Source organism: Homo sapiens, chromosome 1 (assembly GCF_000001405.40).
Source record: "Homo sapiens chromosome 1, GRCh38.p14 Primary Assembly".
In the NCBI taxonomy this organism is placed as follows: Eukaryota; Metazoa; Chordata; class Mammalia; order Primates; family Hominidae; genus Homo; species Homo sapiens.
Genome location: NC_000001.11, coordinates 114,951,097 through 114,968,235, shown reverse-complemented (window position 1 = coordinate 114,968,235; position 17,139 = coordinate 114,951,097). Strand labels below are relative to the sequence as shown.

The 17,139-nt window shown below is 37.9% G+C and overlaps 1 protein-coding gene across 10 annotated transcripts in view; it reads right to left on the bottom strand.

Annotated features, from left to right (window-relative positions):
• The window catches only part of SYCP1 (synaptonemal complex protein 1), a 141,283-nt gene that overhangs the window by 27,135 nt on the left and 97,009 nt on the right, over positions 1 to 17,139 (bottom strand). The window lies entirely within an intron of this gene.

The window sequence follows — 17,139 nt, the reverse complement described above, 5'->3', positions numbered from 1 at the left end:
TCTAGCAAGACAGGCCAACATTCAAATTCAGGAAATACAGAGAACACCACAAAGATACTCCTAGAGAAGAACAACCCCAAGACACATAATTGTCAGATTCACCAAGGTTGAAATGAAGGAAAAAATCTTAAGGGCAGCCAGAGAGAAAGGTCGGGTTACCCACAAAGGGAAGCCCATCAGATTAACAGTGGCTCTCTCTGCAGAAACCCTACAAGCCAGAAGAGAGTAGGGGCCAATATTCAACATTCTTAAAGAAAAGAATTTTCAACCCAGAATTTCATATCCAGCCAAACTAACCTTAAAGTGAAGGAAAATAAAATCCTTTACAGACAAGCAATGCTAAGGGATTTTGTCACCACCAGGCCTGCCTTACAAGAGCTCCTGAAGGAAGCACTAAATATGGAAAGGAAAAACTGGTACCAGCCACTGCAAAAACATACCAAAATGTAAAGACCATCAACACTATGAAGAAACTGCATCAACTAATGGGCAAAATAACCAGCTAGCATCATAATGACAGGACCAAATTCACACACAACAATATTAACCTTAAATGTAAACAAGCTAAATGCCCCAATTAAAAGACACAGACTGGCACAGTGGATGAAGAGTCAAGACCCATCGGTGTGCTGTATTCAGGAGACCCATCTCACGTGCAAAGACACACATAGACTCAAAATAAAGGGATGGAGGAATATTTACCAAGCAAATGGAAAGCAAACAAACAAACAAAAAGCAGAGATTGCAATCCTAGTCTCTGATAAAACAGACTTTAAACCAACAAAGATCAAAAAAGACAAAGAAGGGCATTACATAATGGTAAAGGGATCAATGCAACAAGAAGAGCTAACTATCCTAAATACATGCACCCAATATAAGAGCACCCAGATTCATAAAGCAAGTTTTAAGAGACCTACAAAGAGACTTAGACTCCCACACAGTAATAGTAGGAAACTTTAACACTCCACTGTCAATATTAGATAGAAGAATGAGACAGAAAATTAACAAGGATATTCACGACTTGAACTCAGCTCCGGACCAAACAGACCTAATAGACATCTACAGAACTCTCCACCCCAAAGCAACAGAATATACATTCTTCTCAGCACCGCATAGCACTTATTCTAAAATTGAACACATAATTGGAAATAAAACACCCTCAGCAAATGCAAAAGAACGGAAATCATTACAAACAGTCTCTCAGACCACAGTGCAAGGAAATTAGAACTCAGGATTAAGAAACTCACTCAAGGCCGAGTGCAGTGGCTCACGCCTGTAATCCCAGCACTTTGGGAGGCCGAGGAAGGCCAATCACCTGAGGTCAGAAGTTCAACAACAGCCTAGCCAACATGGTGAAACCCTGTCTCTACAAAAAGTACAAAAATTAGCCAGGTATGCTGGCACATGCCTGTAGTCCCGGCTACTTGGGAGGCTGAGACAGGAGAATCGCTTGAACCCAGGAGGCAGAGGTTGCAGTGAGTCAAGATGGCGCCACTGCACTCCAGCCTCAGTGGCAGAGCGAGACTCCATCTAAAAAAAAAAAAAAGAAAGAAAGAAAAAAGAAAACAGGAATTCACTCAAAACCACACAACTACATGAAAACTAAACAACCTGCTCCTGAATGACTACTGGGTAAGTAACAAAATTAAGGTGGAACTAAATAAGTTCTTTAAAACCATTGAGAACAAACACACAACGTACCAGAATCTCTGGGACACAGCTAAAGCAGTGTTTATAGGGAAATTTGTAGCACTAAATGCCCACATCAGAAAGTGGGAAAGATCCAAAACCAATACCCTAACATCACAATTAAAAGAACTAGAGAAGAAAAAACAAACAGATTCAAAAGCTGGCAGAAGACAAGAAATAATTAAGATCAGAGCAGAACTGAAGGACATCGAGACATGAAAAACCCTTCAAAAAAATCAACGAATCTAGGAGCTGGTTTTTTGAAAAGATTAACAAAATAGATAGACTGCTAGCCAGACTAATAAAGAGGAAAAGAGAGAAAAATCAAATAGACACAATAAAAAATGATAAAGGGGATATCACCACTGATCCCACAGAAACAGAAACTACCATCAGAGAATACTATAAACACCTCTACACAAATAAACTAGAAAATCTAGAAGAAATGAATAAATTCCTGGACACATACACCCTCCCAAGACCAAACCAGGGAGAAGTCAAATCCCTGAATAGACCAATAACAAGCTCTGAAATTGAGGCAGTAATTAATAGCCTACCAACCAAAAAAAGCCCAGGACCAGATGGGTTCACAGCCAAATTCTACCAGAGGTACAAAGAGGAGCCGGTACCATTCCTTCTGAAACTATTCCAAAAAGAAAAAGAGGGACTCCTGCCTAACTCAGTTTATGAGGCCAGCATCATCCTTATACCAAAACCTGGCAGAGACACAACAAAAAAGGAAAATTTCAGGCCAATATCCCTGATGAACATCGATGTGATAATCCTCAATAAAATACTGGCAAACCTAATCCAGCAGCACATCAAAAAGCTTATCCACCGCGATCAATTCCTGGGATGCAACGCTGGTTCAACATATGCAAATCAATAAACATAATCCATCACATAAACAGAACCATGTAAAAGCCACATGATTATCTCAATAGATGCAGAAAAGGCCTTCGATAAAATTCAACACCCCTTCATGCTAAAAACACTCAATAAACTAGGTATTGATGGAACATATCTCAAAATAATAAGAGCTAATTATGACAAACTCATAGCCAATATCATACTGAATAGGCCAAACCTGGAAGTATTCCCTTTGAAAACCAGCACAAGACAAGGATGCCCTCTCTCACCACTCCTATTCAACATAGTATGGGAAGTTCTGGCCAGGGAAATCAGGTAAGAGAAACAAATAAAGGGCATTCAAATAGGAAGAGAGCAAGTCAAATTGTCTCTGTTTGCAGAAGACATGATTGTATATTTAGAAAACCCTATCATCTCAGCCCAAAAACTCCTTAAGCTGATAAGCAACTTCAGCAAACTCAGGATACAAAATCAATGTACAAAAATCACAAGCATTCTTATACACCAATAACAGACAAACAGCCAAATCATGAGTGAACTCCCATTCACAATTGCTACAAAGAGAATAAAATACCTACGAATACAACTTACAAGGGATGTGAAGGACCTCTTCAAGGAGAACGACAAACCACTGCTCAAGGAAATAAGAGAGGACACAAACAAATGGAAAAACATTCCATGCTCATGGATAGGAAGAATCAATACCATGAAAATGGCCATGCTGCCCAAAGTAATTTACAGATTCAATGCTATCCCCATCAAGCTACCATTGACTTTCTTCATAGAATTAGAAAAAACTACTTTAAATTTCATATGGAACAAAAAAGAGCCCATATATCCAAGACAATCCTAAGCCAAAAGAACAAAGCTGGAGGCATCATGCTACGTGACTTCAAACTATACTACAAGGCTCAGTAACCAAAACAGCATGGTACTGGTACCAAAACAGGATGGAACAGAACAGAGCCCTCAGAAATAACACCACACATCTACAACCATCTGATCTTTGACAAACATGACAAAAACAAGAAATGGGGAAAGGATTCCCTATTTAATAAATGGTATTGGGAAAACTGGCTAGCCATATGCAGAAAACTGAAACTGGACCCCTTCCTTACATCTTATACAAAAATTAACTCAAGATGGATTAAAGACTTAAACTTAAGACCTAAACCCATTAAAAACCCTAGAAAAAAAACCTAGGCAATACCATTCAGGACATAGGCATGGGCAAAGACTTCATAACTAAAACACCAAAAACAATTGCAACAAAAGCCAAAATAGACAAATGGGATCTAATTAAATGAAAGAGCTTCTGCACAGCCAAAGAAACTATCATCAGAGTGAACAGGCAACCTACAGAATGGGAGAAAATTTTTGCAATCTATCCATCTGACAAAAGACTAGTATCCAGAATCTACAAGGAACTTAAACAAATTTACAAGAAAATAACAAACAACCCCATCAAAAAGTGGGCAAAGGATATGAAGAGACACTTCTCAAAAGAAGACATTTTTGCAGCCAACAAACATGAAAAAAAAGCTCATCATCACTGATCATTAGAGAAATGCAAATCAAAACCACAAGAAGATATCATCTCACACGAGTTAGAATGGCAATCATTAAAAAGTCAGGAAACAACAGATGCTGGAGAGGATGTGGAGAAATAGGAATGCTTTTACACAGTTGGTGGGAGTGTAAATTAGTTCAACCATTGTGGAAGACAGTGTGGTGATTCCTCAAGGATCTAGAACCAGAAATACCATTTGACCCAGCAATCCCATTACTGGGTATATACCCAAAGGATTATAAATCATTCTACTATAAAGACACATGCACACATATGTTTGCTGCAGCATTATTCACAATAGCAAAGACTTGGAACCAACCCAAATGCCCATCAATGATAGACTGGATAAAGAAAATGTGGCACATATACACCATGAAATACTATGCAGCCATAAAAAAGAATTAGTTCATGTCCTTTACAGGGACATGGATGAAGCTGGAAACCATCATTCTCAGCAAACTAACACAGAAACAGAAAACCAAACACCACATGTTCTCACTTGTAAGTGGAAGCTGGACAATGAGAACATACAGGCACAGGGATGGGAACATCACACATTGGGGTCTGTCAGGGGTTGGGGGCAAGGGGAGGGACAGCATTAGAAGAAATACCTAATGTAGATGATAGATTGGTGAGTGCAGCAAACCACCATGGCACATGTATACCTATGTAACAAACTTGCATGTTCTGCACACGTATCCCAGAATTTAAAGTATAATAAAAAAGAAAAAATACTTTTAAAAAAATGAACAAAGCCTCCAAGAAGCTTGGGATTATGTTAAACAAACCAACCTAAGAAAATTTGTGTTCCTCAGGAAGAAGAGAAATCTAAGACTTTGGAAAATTTATTTGAGGGAGTAATCAAGGAAAACTTCCCTGACCTTGCTAGAGATCTAGACATCCAAATACAAGAGGCTCAAAGAATACCCAGGAAATTCATCGCAAAAGATCGTAATCTAGGCACATAGTCATCAAATTGTCTAAAGTCAAGATGAAGGAAAGAATCTTAAGAGCTGTGAGGCAAAAGCATCAAGCTAACCTATAAAGGAAAACCTATTGGATTAACAGCAGACTTCTCAGCAGAAACCTTACAAGCTAGTAGGGACTGGGGTCTTATCTTTAGGCTCCTTAAACAAAATAATTATCAGCCAAGAATTTTGTATCCAGTGTAACTAAGCTTCAAAAATGAAGAAAAGATAAAGTCTTTTTCAGACAAACAAATGCTGAGAGAATTCGCCACTACCAAGTTAGCACTACAATAACTGCTAAAAGGAGCTCTACATCTTGAAACAAAACCTAAAAATACACCAAAATAGAATTTCCTTAAAGCATAAATCTTACAAAGCCTATAAAACAATAACACAATGAAAAAAAATCAAGGTATTCAGGCAACAAATAGCACAATGAATGGAAGAGTACCTCACATCTCAATACTAATGTTGAATGTAAATGGCCTAAATGCTCCACTTAAAAGATACAGAATGGCAGAATATATAAGAATTCACCAACCCAAGTATGTGCTGTCTTTAAGGGACTCACCTAACATAACACATACAGACTCACATAAACTTAAGGTAAAGGGGTGGAAAAAGATATTCCATGCAAATGGACACCAAAAGCAGGCAAGAATAGTTATTCTTACATCAGACAAAACAGACTTTAAAGCAACAACAGTTTAAAAAGACAAAAAGAGACATTACATAATGATAAAAGGACTTGTTTAACAGGAAAATATCACAGACCTAAAAATATATGCACCTAACACTGGTTCTCCCAAATGTATAAAACAATGACTACCAGACCTTAAAAATGAGATAGACATGTTGGGTGCAGTGGCTCACACCTATAATCCCAGCACTTTGGGAGGCTGAGGCGGGCTGGATCACCTGAGGTCAGGAGTTCGAGACCAGCCTGGCCAACACAGCGAAACCCTGTCTCTACTAAAAAAATACAAAAATTAGCTGGGTGTTGTGCCGGCTGCCTGTAATCTCAGCTACTCTACTCAGGCGGCTGATGCAGGAGAATCACTTGAACCTGGGAGGCGAAGGTTTTAGTGAGCCGAAATTGTGTCACTGCACTCCAGCCTGGGCAAAAAGGTAAGACTCCATCTCAAAAAAAAAAAAAAAAAAAGATAGATGGCAACACAAATAATAGTGGGGGACTTCAATACTTCACTGGCAGCACTAGACAGGTCATCAAGACAGAAAATCAACAAAGAAAAAATGGACTTAATCTATACCCTGGAACAGATGCACTTAACAGGTATTTACAGAACATTCTACCTAACAACTGCAGAATATACATTCTATTCATCACCACATGTAACATTCTCCAAGACAGACCATATGAAAGGCCACAAAACAGGTCTCAATGAATTAAGAACATCGAAATTATATCAAGTACTCTCTCAGACCACAGTGGAATAAAATTGGAAATCAACTCCAAAAGGAACTCTCAAAATCAGGCAAATACGTGAAAATTAAATAATCTTCTCCTGAATGGTCTCTGGGTCAACAGTGAAATCAAGATGGAAATTCTTAAATTCTTTCAACTAAACGATAATAGTGACACAGCCTATCAATGCCTCTGAGATACAGCAAAAGCAGTGCTAAGAGGAAAGTTCATAGCATTAAATGCCTACATCAAAAAGTCTGAAAGAGCACAAATAGACAATCTAAGGTCACATCTCAAGGAGCTAGAGGAACAAGAACAAACCAAACCCAAATTCAGCAGAAGAAAAGAAATTACAAAGATCAGAGCATAACTAAATGAAATTGAAACAAAAAATACAAAAGATAAATGAAACAAAAAGCTAGTTCTTTGAAAACATAAACAAAATTGATAGACCATTTGTGAGATTAACCAAGAAAAGAGAAGATTCAAATAAGCTCAATCAGAAATGAAACAGGAGATATTACAACTGATACCAGAGAAATAAAAAAGATCAAGGCTACTATGAACACCTTAACATGCACAAACTAGAAAACCTAGAAGAGATGGATAAATTCCTGGAAATATACAACCCTCCTAGATTAAACCAGGAAGCAAGAGAAACTCTGAACAGACCAATAACAAGCAGCAAGACTGAAATGGTAATTTTTAAAAACTGCCAATAAAAGAAGTTCAGGACCAGATGGATTCACAGTTGAATTCTGTCAGACATTCAAAGAATTGGCACCAATCCTACTGAAACTATTCCAAAAGATAGAGTAAGAGAAAATCCCCCCTAAATCATTCTATGAAGCCAGTATCACCCTAATACCAAAACCAGGAGAGGACAAAACGAAAAAAGAAAATTACAGACAAATATCCCTGATGAACATAGATGCACAAATCCTCAACAAAATACTAGCTAACCGAGTCTAACAGCATATCAAAAAGATAATACATTTCTCAAAAGAAGATATACCAATGGCAAACAGGTATATGAAAACGTACTCAACATTACTGATCATCAGAGAAATGCAAATCAAAACTACAATGAGATATCATCTTACCCCAGTTAAAATGGCTTTTATCCAAAAGTCAGGCAATAACAAATGCTGACGAGGACGTGGAGAAAAGGGAACCCTCATACACTGCTGGTGGGAATGTAAATTAGTACAACCACTGTGGAGGTTCCTCAAAAAACTAAAAATAGGCTGGGCGTGGTGGCTCACGCCCGTAATCCCAGCACTTAGGGAGGCCAAGGCGAGTGGATCACCTGAGGTCAGGAGTTCGAGACAAGCCTGGCCAACATGGCAAAACCCCATCTCTACTAAAAATACAAAAATTAGCCAGGGGTGATGGTGCATGCCTGTGATCCCAGCTACTCGGGAGGCTGAGGCAGGAGAATCACTTGAACCCAGGAGGTGGAGGTTGCAGTGAGCCGAGATCACACCACTGCACTCCAGCATGGGCAACAGAGCAAGACTCCATCTCAAAAAAAAAAAAAAAAAAAAAACAAGCAAACTAAAAATAATCAGCTGCTATAGACTGTATGATCCAGCCATCCCACTGCTAGGTATATACCCAAAAGAAAAGAAATCCATTTACCTAAGAAATATCTGCACTCCCATGTTTACTGTAACACTGTTCACAATAGCCAAGATTTGGAAGCAACCCAAATGTCCATCACCTGATGACTGGGTAAAGAAAATGTGGTGCATACACACCCTGAACTACTATTCAGCCATAAAAAAGAATAAGATCCTGTGATTTGCAGCAGCATGGGTGGAACTGGAGGTCATTATGTTAAGTGAAATAAGCCAGGCACAGAAAGACAAACTTTCCATGTTCTCACTTGTCTGTGGGTACTAAAAATTATAGCCATTGAACTCATGGAGATAGAGAATAGAAGGATGATTATCAGAGGCTGGGAAGGGTAGTAGGGAGGAGGGGAGGGGGTGTGTGGGGAAAGGAGAATGGTTAATGGATATAAAAAATAGAAAGAATGAATAAGATATAGCATTTGATAGCACAATAGGGTGATTATGGCCAATAATTTAAGTGGACATTTTAAAATAACTAAAAGTATAATTGGATTGTTTGTAATACAAAGGATAAATGCTTGAGGTGATGGATACCTCATTCACTCTGATAAAATTATTACACAATGTATGCTTCTATCAAAATATCCCATACACCCCATAAATATACACACCTACAATGTACCCACAAAAATTAAAAATTAAAAGACAGAAAACTATAGCTCAATAGCTCTCATAAATGTAGATGCAAAAAATTCTCAACTCAAAATGCTAGCAAACCAAATCCAGCAAAATAAAATGGGGATTATATACCAAGACCAAGTAGAATTTCTGCCAAGAATGTAAAGTTGGTTTCACATCTGAAAATCAATTACTGTAATACATAATATTAATGGAATAAACGGAGAAACCCACATGATCACCTCAACAGACATGGAAAAAGCATTTCACAAATCTAACACCCTTTTATGGTAAAACAAAAGAGAACAAAACAACCTTTAAACTAATTAGGAATAGAAGAGAACTTTCTCAGTTTGATAAAGGGCATCTAGATACACTGAATTTCATCAAAATGAAAACTTTTGTGTTGCAAATGATACCAACAAGAAACTGAAAAAACAACCCACAGAATGAGAGAAAATATCTGCAAATAGTACATCATATAAAGAACATGTATCTGAAATAAAGAACTCTTTTTTTTTTTTTTTTGAGACGGAGTCTCACTCTGTTGCCCAGGCTGGAGTGCAGTGGCACAATCTCGGCTCACTGCAAGCTCCACCTCCCAGGTTCATGCCATTCTCCTGCCTCAGCCTCCCGAGTAGCTGGGACTACGGGCACCCACCACCATGCCCGGCTAATTTTTTTTTTTTTTTTTTTTTTTTAGTAGAGACAGGGTTTCACCGTGTTAGCCAGGATGGACTCAATCTCCTGACCTTGTGATCCGCCCGCCTCAGCCTCCCAAAGTGCTGGGATTACAGGCATGGGCCACCGCACCCGGCCTGAAATAAAGAACTTTTAAAACTGAATAATAAAAAGATAAATTACTAAATAATTTTTATTGATATATAATAGTTGTACATATTTTGGGAGTACATGTGATATTTTGATATCTGTATATGATACATAATAATCAAAATCAGAGTAATTAGGATATCTATCATCTCAAACATTTATCATTTCTTTGTGTTGGGAATATTCCAATTCTTCTCCTATAGCTATTTTGAAGTATTCAATATTTTGAAACCTACACTAGCCCTATTGTGCTACCAAACACTGGAACTTATATCTTTTATCTAATTGTATATTTGTACCCATTAATCAATCCCTCTTCATCCCTCCCTCCCCACTACCCTTCCCAGCCTCCAGTAACCACCGCTGTATTTACTACCTCCATGAGATAATTTTTTAAGCTCCCACATATGAGTGAGAATATTTAACAGCTGTTTTTCTGTGCCTAGCTTATTTCACATAACACAATATCCTCCAGCTCCATCCATGTAGTTGCAAATGACAAAGTTTCCTTCTTTTTTATGGCTGATTAATATTCCATTGCATATGGAATGTATACCACATTTTCTTTATCCAATCACTTGTTAATGAACACTTAGTTGATTCCATATTTTGGCAATTGTGAATAGTGCTACAGTAAACATGGGAATTTAGATCTCTCTTCAATATGCTGATTTCCTTTCTTTTGGATATATACTCAGTAATGGGATTGCTGGGTCATAAGGTAGCTCTATTTTTAGTTTTTTGAGGAACCTCTAGACTGTTTTCCATAATGGCTGTACCAATTTACACTCCCAGCAACAGTAAACAAGGGTTCCCTTTGTTCCACATCCTCATCAACACTTGCTATCTTTTGACTTTTAGCAACAGCCATCCTAATAGGTGTGAGGTTATATCTCATTGTGGTGGTGTTGATTTGTGTTTCCCTGATGATTAGTGATGTTGAGCATGTTTTCATATACCTGTTTCCATCTGTATGTCTTCTTTTGAGAAATGTTTTGTCCAATTTTTAATCAGATAATTTGGGGTTTTTTGCTATTGAATTGTTTGAGTTTCTTATATATTCTGGTTATTCATCTCTTGTTGGATGGATAGTTTCCAAACATGTTCTCCCATTCCAAGGGTTGATTTTTCTCACTTTGCTGTTTCCTTTGCTGTGCAGAGACTTTGTAGCTTGATATAATCCTGTTTTATCCATTTTTGCTTTCATTGCCTATGCTTTTTGAGGTCTCACTCAAATAATCTTTGACCGGACCAATGCCCTGTAGCATTTACCCAGTGTTTTCTTTCAGTAATTTCATAGTTTCAGGTCTTACATCTAAGTAAACTTAATGTTTACTTAAGGAGTTCAAGACCAGTTTAGGCAACATAGCAAGACCCCTGCAAAAAATTTAAAAATTAGCTGGGTGGGGTGGTGGTCACTTGTAGTCCCAGCTACTTAGTAGGCTGAGACCACAGGATCTCTTGAACCCAGGAGTTGGAGATTCCAGTGAGCTATGATTGTACCATTGCACTTCATCCTGGGCAAGAGAGAGAAACCCTGTTTCTACAAAAACAAACAAACAACAACAACAACAACAAAACCTGGCCATTTCTAATTCTTTGAGAGATCACACATTTCCATCAATTTAGGGTCAGTCTCTGGCACCTTATTTTGTCTGTTTGGTGAGGTTATATTTCCCTTAATGTTCTTGATGCTTGTGGATGTGTGACAATGTCTGCACACTGAGAGATTAAGTATTTAATTGTAGGCACAGTCTGCCTTTGTTTGTGGTTCTCAGTGATTCTAGTGATTCTAAGAAGTCTGGTTGTTGTGTTTCCTGAGCCTGTGACCACTGCAGCCATCTCAGCACTAGAGGATGCTCTAAGTCCACACTTGCCATGAGTCTTGCAAGGACTCCAAGGTTGACATGCCATTCCAGCCCAGATAAGCCTGGGAAAGATCCAAGGAGGGTACTAGAGCTGTATGGGAATGCTGACCAGGGACCTGAGTTCAGAAGATTGTCCGAGTGGCTGAGATGGACATGCCTCCCAGCAGGTCTCTGCATGGGCAAGATAGGATGTCAAGTGCAGCTTGAGGGGCTGGAGTTGACCATAGTTCCCCTCAGGATCTGCTGTGGGTTGGAGGCTGAAGAGCCTAATCTTGGTGGCTGAGAGAACACATGTCTCCTAGGAGAACCCTGCACAGACAATAGTTTCCTAAGTGTAGCAGGATGGACTGGAGCTGAGAATTAGCTCCCTCAGGATTATTGTGAGATAGAGGTTGGAATGCCTATCCCATTGGATTAGAGGAGTGTACATCTCTCAGCAGGGCCCTGCACAGACAGGATAGTTCCCTGATTGCAGCAGGAAGGACTAGACCTGTGACTGTCCCCCCACCACCCATCCAAGATCTGCTGGGGGACACAGGCTGGAGAGCCCATCTTGTTAGCCCAAACAGGTACACATCTCCCAGACAAGATAGATCTCAGAGACAGCACAAGGAAAGAGGTTGGTGATCCTATTCAGGATGGCTTAGACTCCTCAGCTGCGAGGTATGGGTGAGTCTCCCTCTGGGTCCTTGTGTTAGCAGCTCTCAGCTGGGACCTCAGATAAAGTGGGCTAGGGAAGTGCCACAAAACAACTATTATGTTCACTGCCAAAACCAATATCAGCAAGCAGACAAGCCTTTCTATCAAGGCACTAATAGTGTGATTCCCCCGGACTCTTTGGCAGATGGTTTTGATTGCAAGCTCAGGGACAAAGAGGGCTATAGCCAAGCCACTTAGAGGACTGGGCCATTCCTGGGCTTGAACCTGGGAGCAAACTCAGTAGGTCAGCCACCTGTAACCTACTGTCAGTCTGCACTCTCAAAATGACCCTCCAAGTGCTGTCAGTCTGCACTCTCAAAATGACCCTCCAAGGTCTTTGGTTCCATGAGGGTTTCAGAGACTCCCTCTTGAGTCCTGAGGCTCCCAAAGTGAGATTTTGACTGGATAGGTGCAGAATTCTTGTTGTTTTGAGGAGATAAGAGTGGGTTAATGGTGACCCTGAAACAGCCTAATTAACCATTACAGAAATTGAATTTATTGTTTAAAAGTCCTTTTCAGAAATCTACAAGCCTGGATAGTTTCACTGGAGAAGGCTACCAGTCTACCAAACAGAAAGAAAAATTAACACCAATTTTATACAATCTCTTCCCGAAAACAGAAGCAAGGAAAACACTTCCAGACTCATGATATCATAACCAGACAAGATAGTATAGAGAAGAAAACTACAGACCAATATTTCTCATGAACTTATATTTTAAATCCTCAACAAAAAATTAGCAGATTAAATCTAGCAAGTGCCCTCTCTCTCTCTCTCCCTGTTTCTCACTCTCCATATGTATATGTCATACACCAAATGGGATTTATTCTAGGGAATAGCATTCAAAAAATCAACCAAGGTAATCCACCATATCAACAAGATAAAAAGAAAAATAATATGATAATATCAATCAATGCAGAAAAAGCATCTGATAAAATCCAGTACCAATTCACGATTTTTAAAAACTCTAATTAAATTACTACAGGGAGATTACATCAACTTGATTTTTTAAATCTAGAAAAAATCTATAGCTAACATCATACTTATTGGTTAAAAAATTGAATGCTTTTCTCCCTACATTTATCAATACTGCAAGCATGTATGCTCTCGCCACTTATCAGTCTACCACATGGTACTGGAAGTTCTAGTCATTCACTGTAATAAGTCAAGAAAAAGAAATAAAGGCCAGGCGCGGTGGCTCATGCCTGTAATGCCAGCACTTTGGGAGGCCGAGGCAGGCGGATCGCGAGGTCAAGAGATTGAGGCCATCCTGGACAACATGGTGAAACTCCGTCTCTAGTACAAAGACAAAAATTAGCTGGGCATGGCGGCGTGTGCCTGTAGTCCCAGCTGCTCGGGAAGCTGAGGCAGGAGAATCTCTTGAACCCAGATGGTGGAGGTTGCAGTGAGCCGAGATCACGCCACTGCACTCCAGCCTGGTGACAGAGCAAGACTCCGTCTCAAAAATAAATAAATAAAAAATAAATAAATAAATAAATAAATAAATAAATAAAAAGCATACTGACTGGAAAGGATAAAATAAAATATAATTAATTATTATTGTATTTATTAATATTAGTGCTTCATCCTTTCCAATCATCCTGAAGATGACAAATGTCTGCACAGAAAATCACAAAGAATAAAAATAAGCATTGTAGAGCTAATAAATAAGTTTAGCATGGGCACAGGATACAAAATAAACACAAAAATCAATCATGTTTCTGTACACTAATGATAAGCATATAGGAAACAAAATTAAAAACACAATCTATTGCACTGCATGATGACCACCACTAATAATAAGATATTGCATATTTTAAAATTGCTAAAAGATTTTTAATGTTCTCACGTCAAAAAAATGATAAGTTGGCAAGGTCATAGACATGTTAATTAGTTTGATTGAATCTTCTATAACGTACACGTACGTATATCAACATGTCAGATTGCACCTCATAAATGTACACAATTACTATTTGTCAATTAAAAATTAATAAAAATAAGAACAAATGTCTATTTTTTTCAATTGCATGAAAGGAAATGAAATAGATATACATTTAACAAAACAGGTTTAGAGGCTATATAATGAAAATTATGAAATTCTTATGAAAGAAATCAAATATCTAATAAATGGAGAAAAATACCATGCTATAGATTTGAAAACTCAACAAAGTAAAGATGTCAATTTTCCTCAAACTGTGATCTATAGGTTTAATAAATTTTCTATCAAAATCCCAGCAAGGTTTTTGTAAAAATAAATTTATTCTAAAATATATGGAAAGTAACAGGTACTAAAACATCTAAAACAATCTTGACAGAGAAAAATAAAGTAGGAGAATCATTTTACTTGATATTAAGGCTTAGTATAAAGTAAGCATGGCAGTGATATTGGTGAAGAGACACATAGATCAATGGAACAGAATAAAGACCATAGAAATAGATCCATAAGAACATGCCTAACTAGTTTTTGACAAAAGTTTGAAAGTAATTCAATGGAGATAAAGCAGTCTTTTCAACAGCTGGTGACAGAGCAATCTGAGATCCATAGGCAAAAAACTGAACTTCACGCTTTATATAACAATTAACTCAAAATGGATCACAGATGTAAGTATAAAAAATAAAATTCTAAAGCTTTTACAAAAAGACACAGGCCAAAGTCTTTGGGATCTAGGGCTAGGGAAAGAGTTCTTAGACTTGGGATCAAAAGCACAATCCATAAAAGGAAAAACTGAGAAATTAAAATTTATCAAGATTAAAAACTTGTTCTGCAAAAAAACTGTTAGAATAAAAAGACAAGCTATAGACTGGGAGCATACACTGGCAAACCACATATCTGATGCTATGGTTTGAATGTTTGTACCCTCCAAAACTCATGTTGAAATTTGGTTGTCATTGTGGCATTGTTAGGAAGTAGGACATTTGGAAGGTGATAGGGCCATGAGGGCTCTGCCCTTATGGGTGGCAGGAATCCCATCATAAAAAGACATGTTTGGCCCTCTTGTTATTCTTTGCCTTTTTATCTTCCACCATATGAAGACAGGTCATTTCTCTCTCTGGAGGATGCCACAAAAGGCCCTCACCAGATGCTGGCACCTTGATCTTGAACTTCCCATTTTCCAGAACTGTGAGAAAAATACATTTCTGTTCTTTATAAATTACCCAGTCTCAAGTATTCTGTTATAGCAACACAAATGGAATAAGTCCTCTGACAGAGGACTAATAATTACATTATATAAAGAATTCTTAAAATTCAACAGGTAAAAACAAGTCTAATTAGAAAATTAGTTAAAAATAAAAACACAGATACAAATCTCATCTTGAATTGTAGTTCCCATTATCCCCACATGTTGTGGGAGAGTACCCAGTGGGAAGTAATTGAATCATGAGGTTGGTTACCCCCATGCTGCTGTTCTCGTGACAGTGAGTTCTCACAAGATCTAATGGTTTTATAAGGGGCTTTTCCCCCTTTGCTTGGCATTCATTATCCTTCCTGCTGCCATGTGAAGGACATGTTTGCTTCCCCTTCCACCATAATTGTAAGTTTCCTGAGGCCTCCCCAGCCCTGTGGAACTGTGAGTCAATTAAACCTCTTTTCTTTATAAATTACCCAGTCTCAGGTATGTCTTTATTGGCAGCATGAGAATAGACTAATACACTGTTCAACAGCAGAAAAACGCAAATTAGAACCACAATGAATTATGACTACAAACCTACAGGAATAACTAAAATAAAAAATAGCAAGTTGCTGCTGGTAAGGATGCAGAGAAACTGGATCATTTATACAGTGCTTATGGTAATGTAAAATGGTACCACCACTTTGGAAAATAGTTTGGCAGTTGCTTATGAAACTAATATGCAACTGCCATACAATTTAGCAATTGTATTCTTAGGTAGTTGTTTCAGAAAAATGAAAACAGGTTCACACCAAAACCTGTACACAGATGTTCATAACAGCTTTATTTATAATAGCTCAAAACTAGAAACAACTAGGTACCCTTGACTGGGCAAACTCTTAAACTGTGGTACCTCCATACCACAGAATACTACTTGGCAATAAAAACTAAAAAAAAGTATTTACATTTTTCTATCTGCTTTCCAACTTTCTATATACTCAGGTTGGACTAACAACTTGGATAAATCTCCAAGAAACAAAGCTGTAACAAAGGTTACATAGTGTATGAATCCATCTAGATAACATTCTCGAAATGGCAAAATTATAGAAATGGAGAACATGTTAGTGATTGCCAGGGGTGGGGGAGGGAGGTGGATGTGGCTATAAAAGGGCAATATGAGGAATCTTTATGGAGATGGAACTGTTCTGTATCTTAATTGTGTCAATGTCAAAATCCTGGTTGTGATATTGTCCTACAATTTGTAAGATGTGACCATGGGGGGAAACTTAATAAAGGATACATGGGATCTCTCTACATTATTTCTTACAACTGCATGTGAATCTACAATTATCTCAAAATAAAAAGCTTAATTAAAAGAAACTACACTGGCACCTACAACTTTCCTCCCTCTTCAAAATGTTTTTCAGTCTGTTTTCTTCACCCTAGAATCTCAGCCCTTTCAAGAACTATTAAATATTTTGTAAAGAAATATCTATCTTAAGTTTAATAATAATTCTGCAATTCCAATTTCAAATTATTTTTTCCGATAAATTCAAATATAATATGTATATTTTAGTTTAAAGTAGCTAATATGGCATTTTTTTCAAAGGTATTCTTTCTTTATCTTTCTTGATATGTGTAAGTGTATCTGACTATGGTTCTTTTTGTTTATGTTTTTGTTTTTTCATAAAGGAGCCATATGAAGTGATACACGCCCAAAATAGATAAAAGTTATTCTGGGATGTAAGCTCTAGAATTCCATCAACATTTTCCTTTACATTTGTATGTATTACTTACATTCTTAAAATGTGTATAAAAGTGTAATTTAGGCCGGGCGTGGTGGCTCACGCCTGTA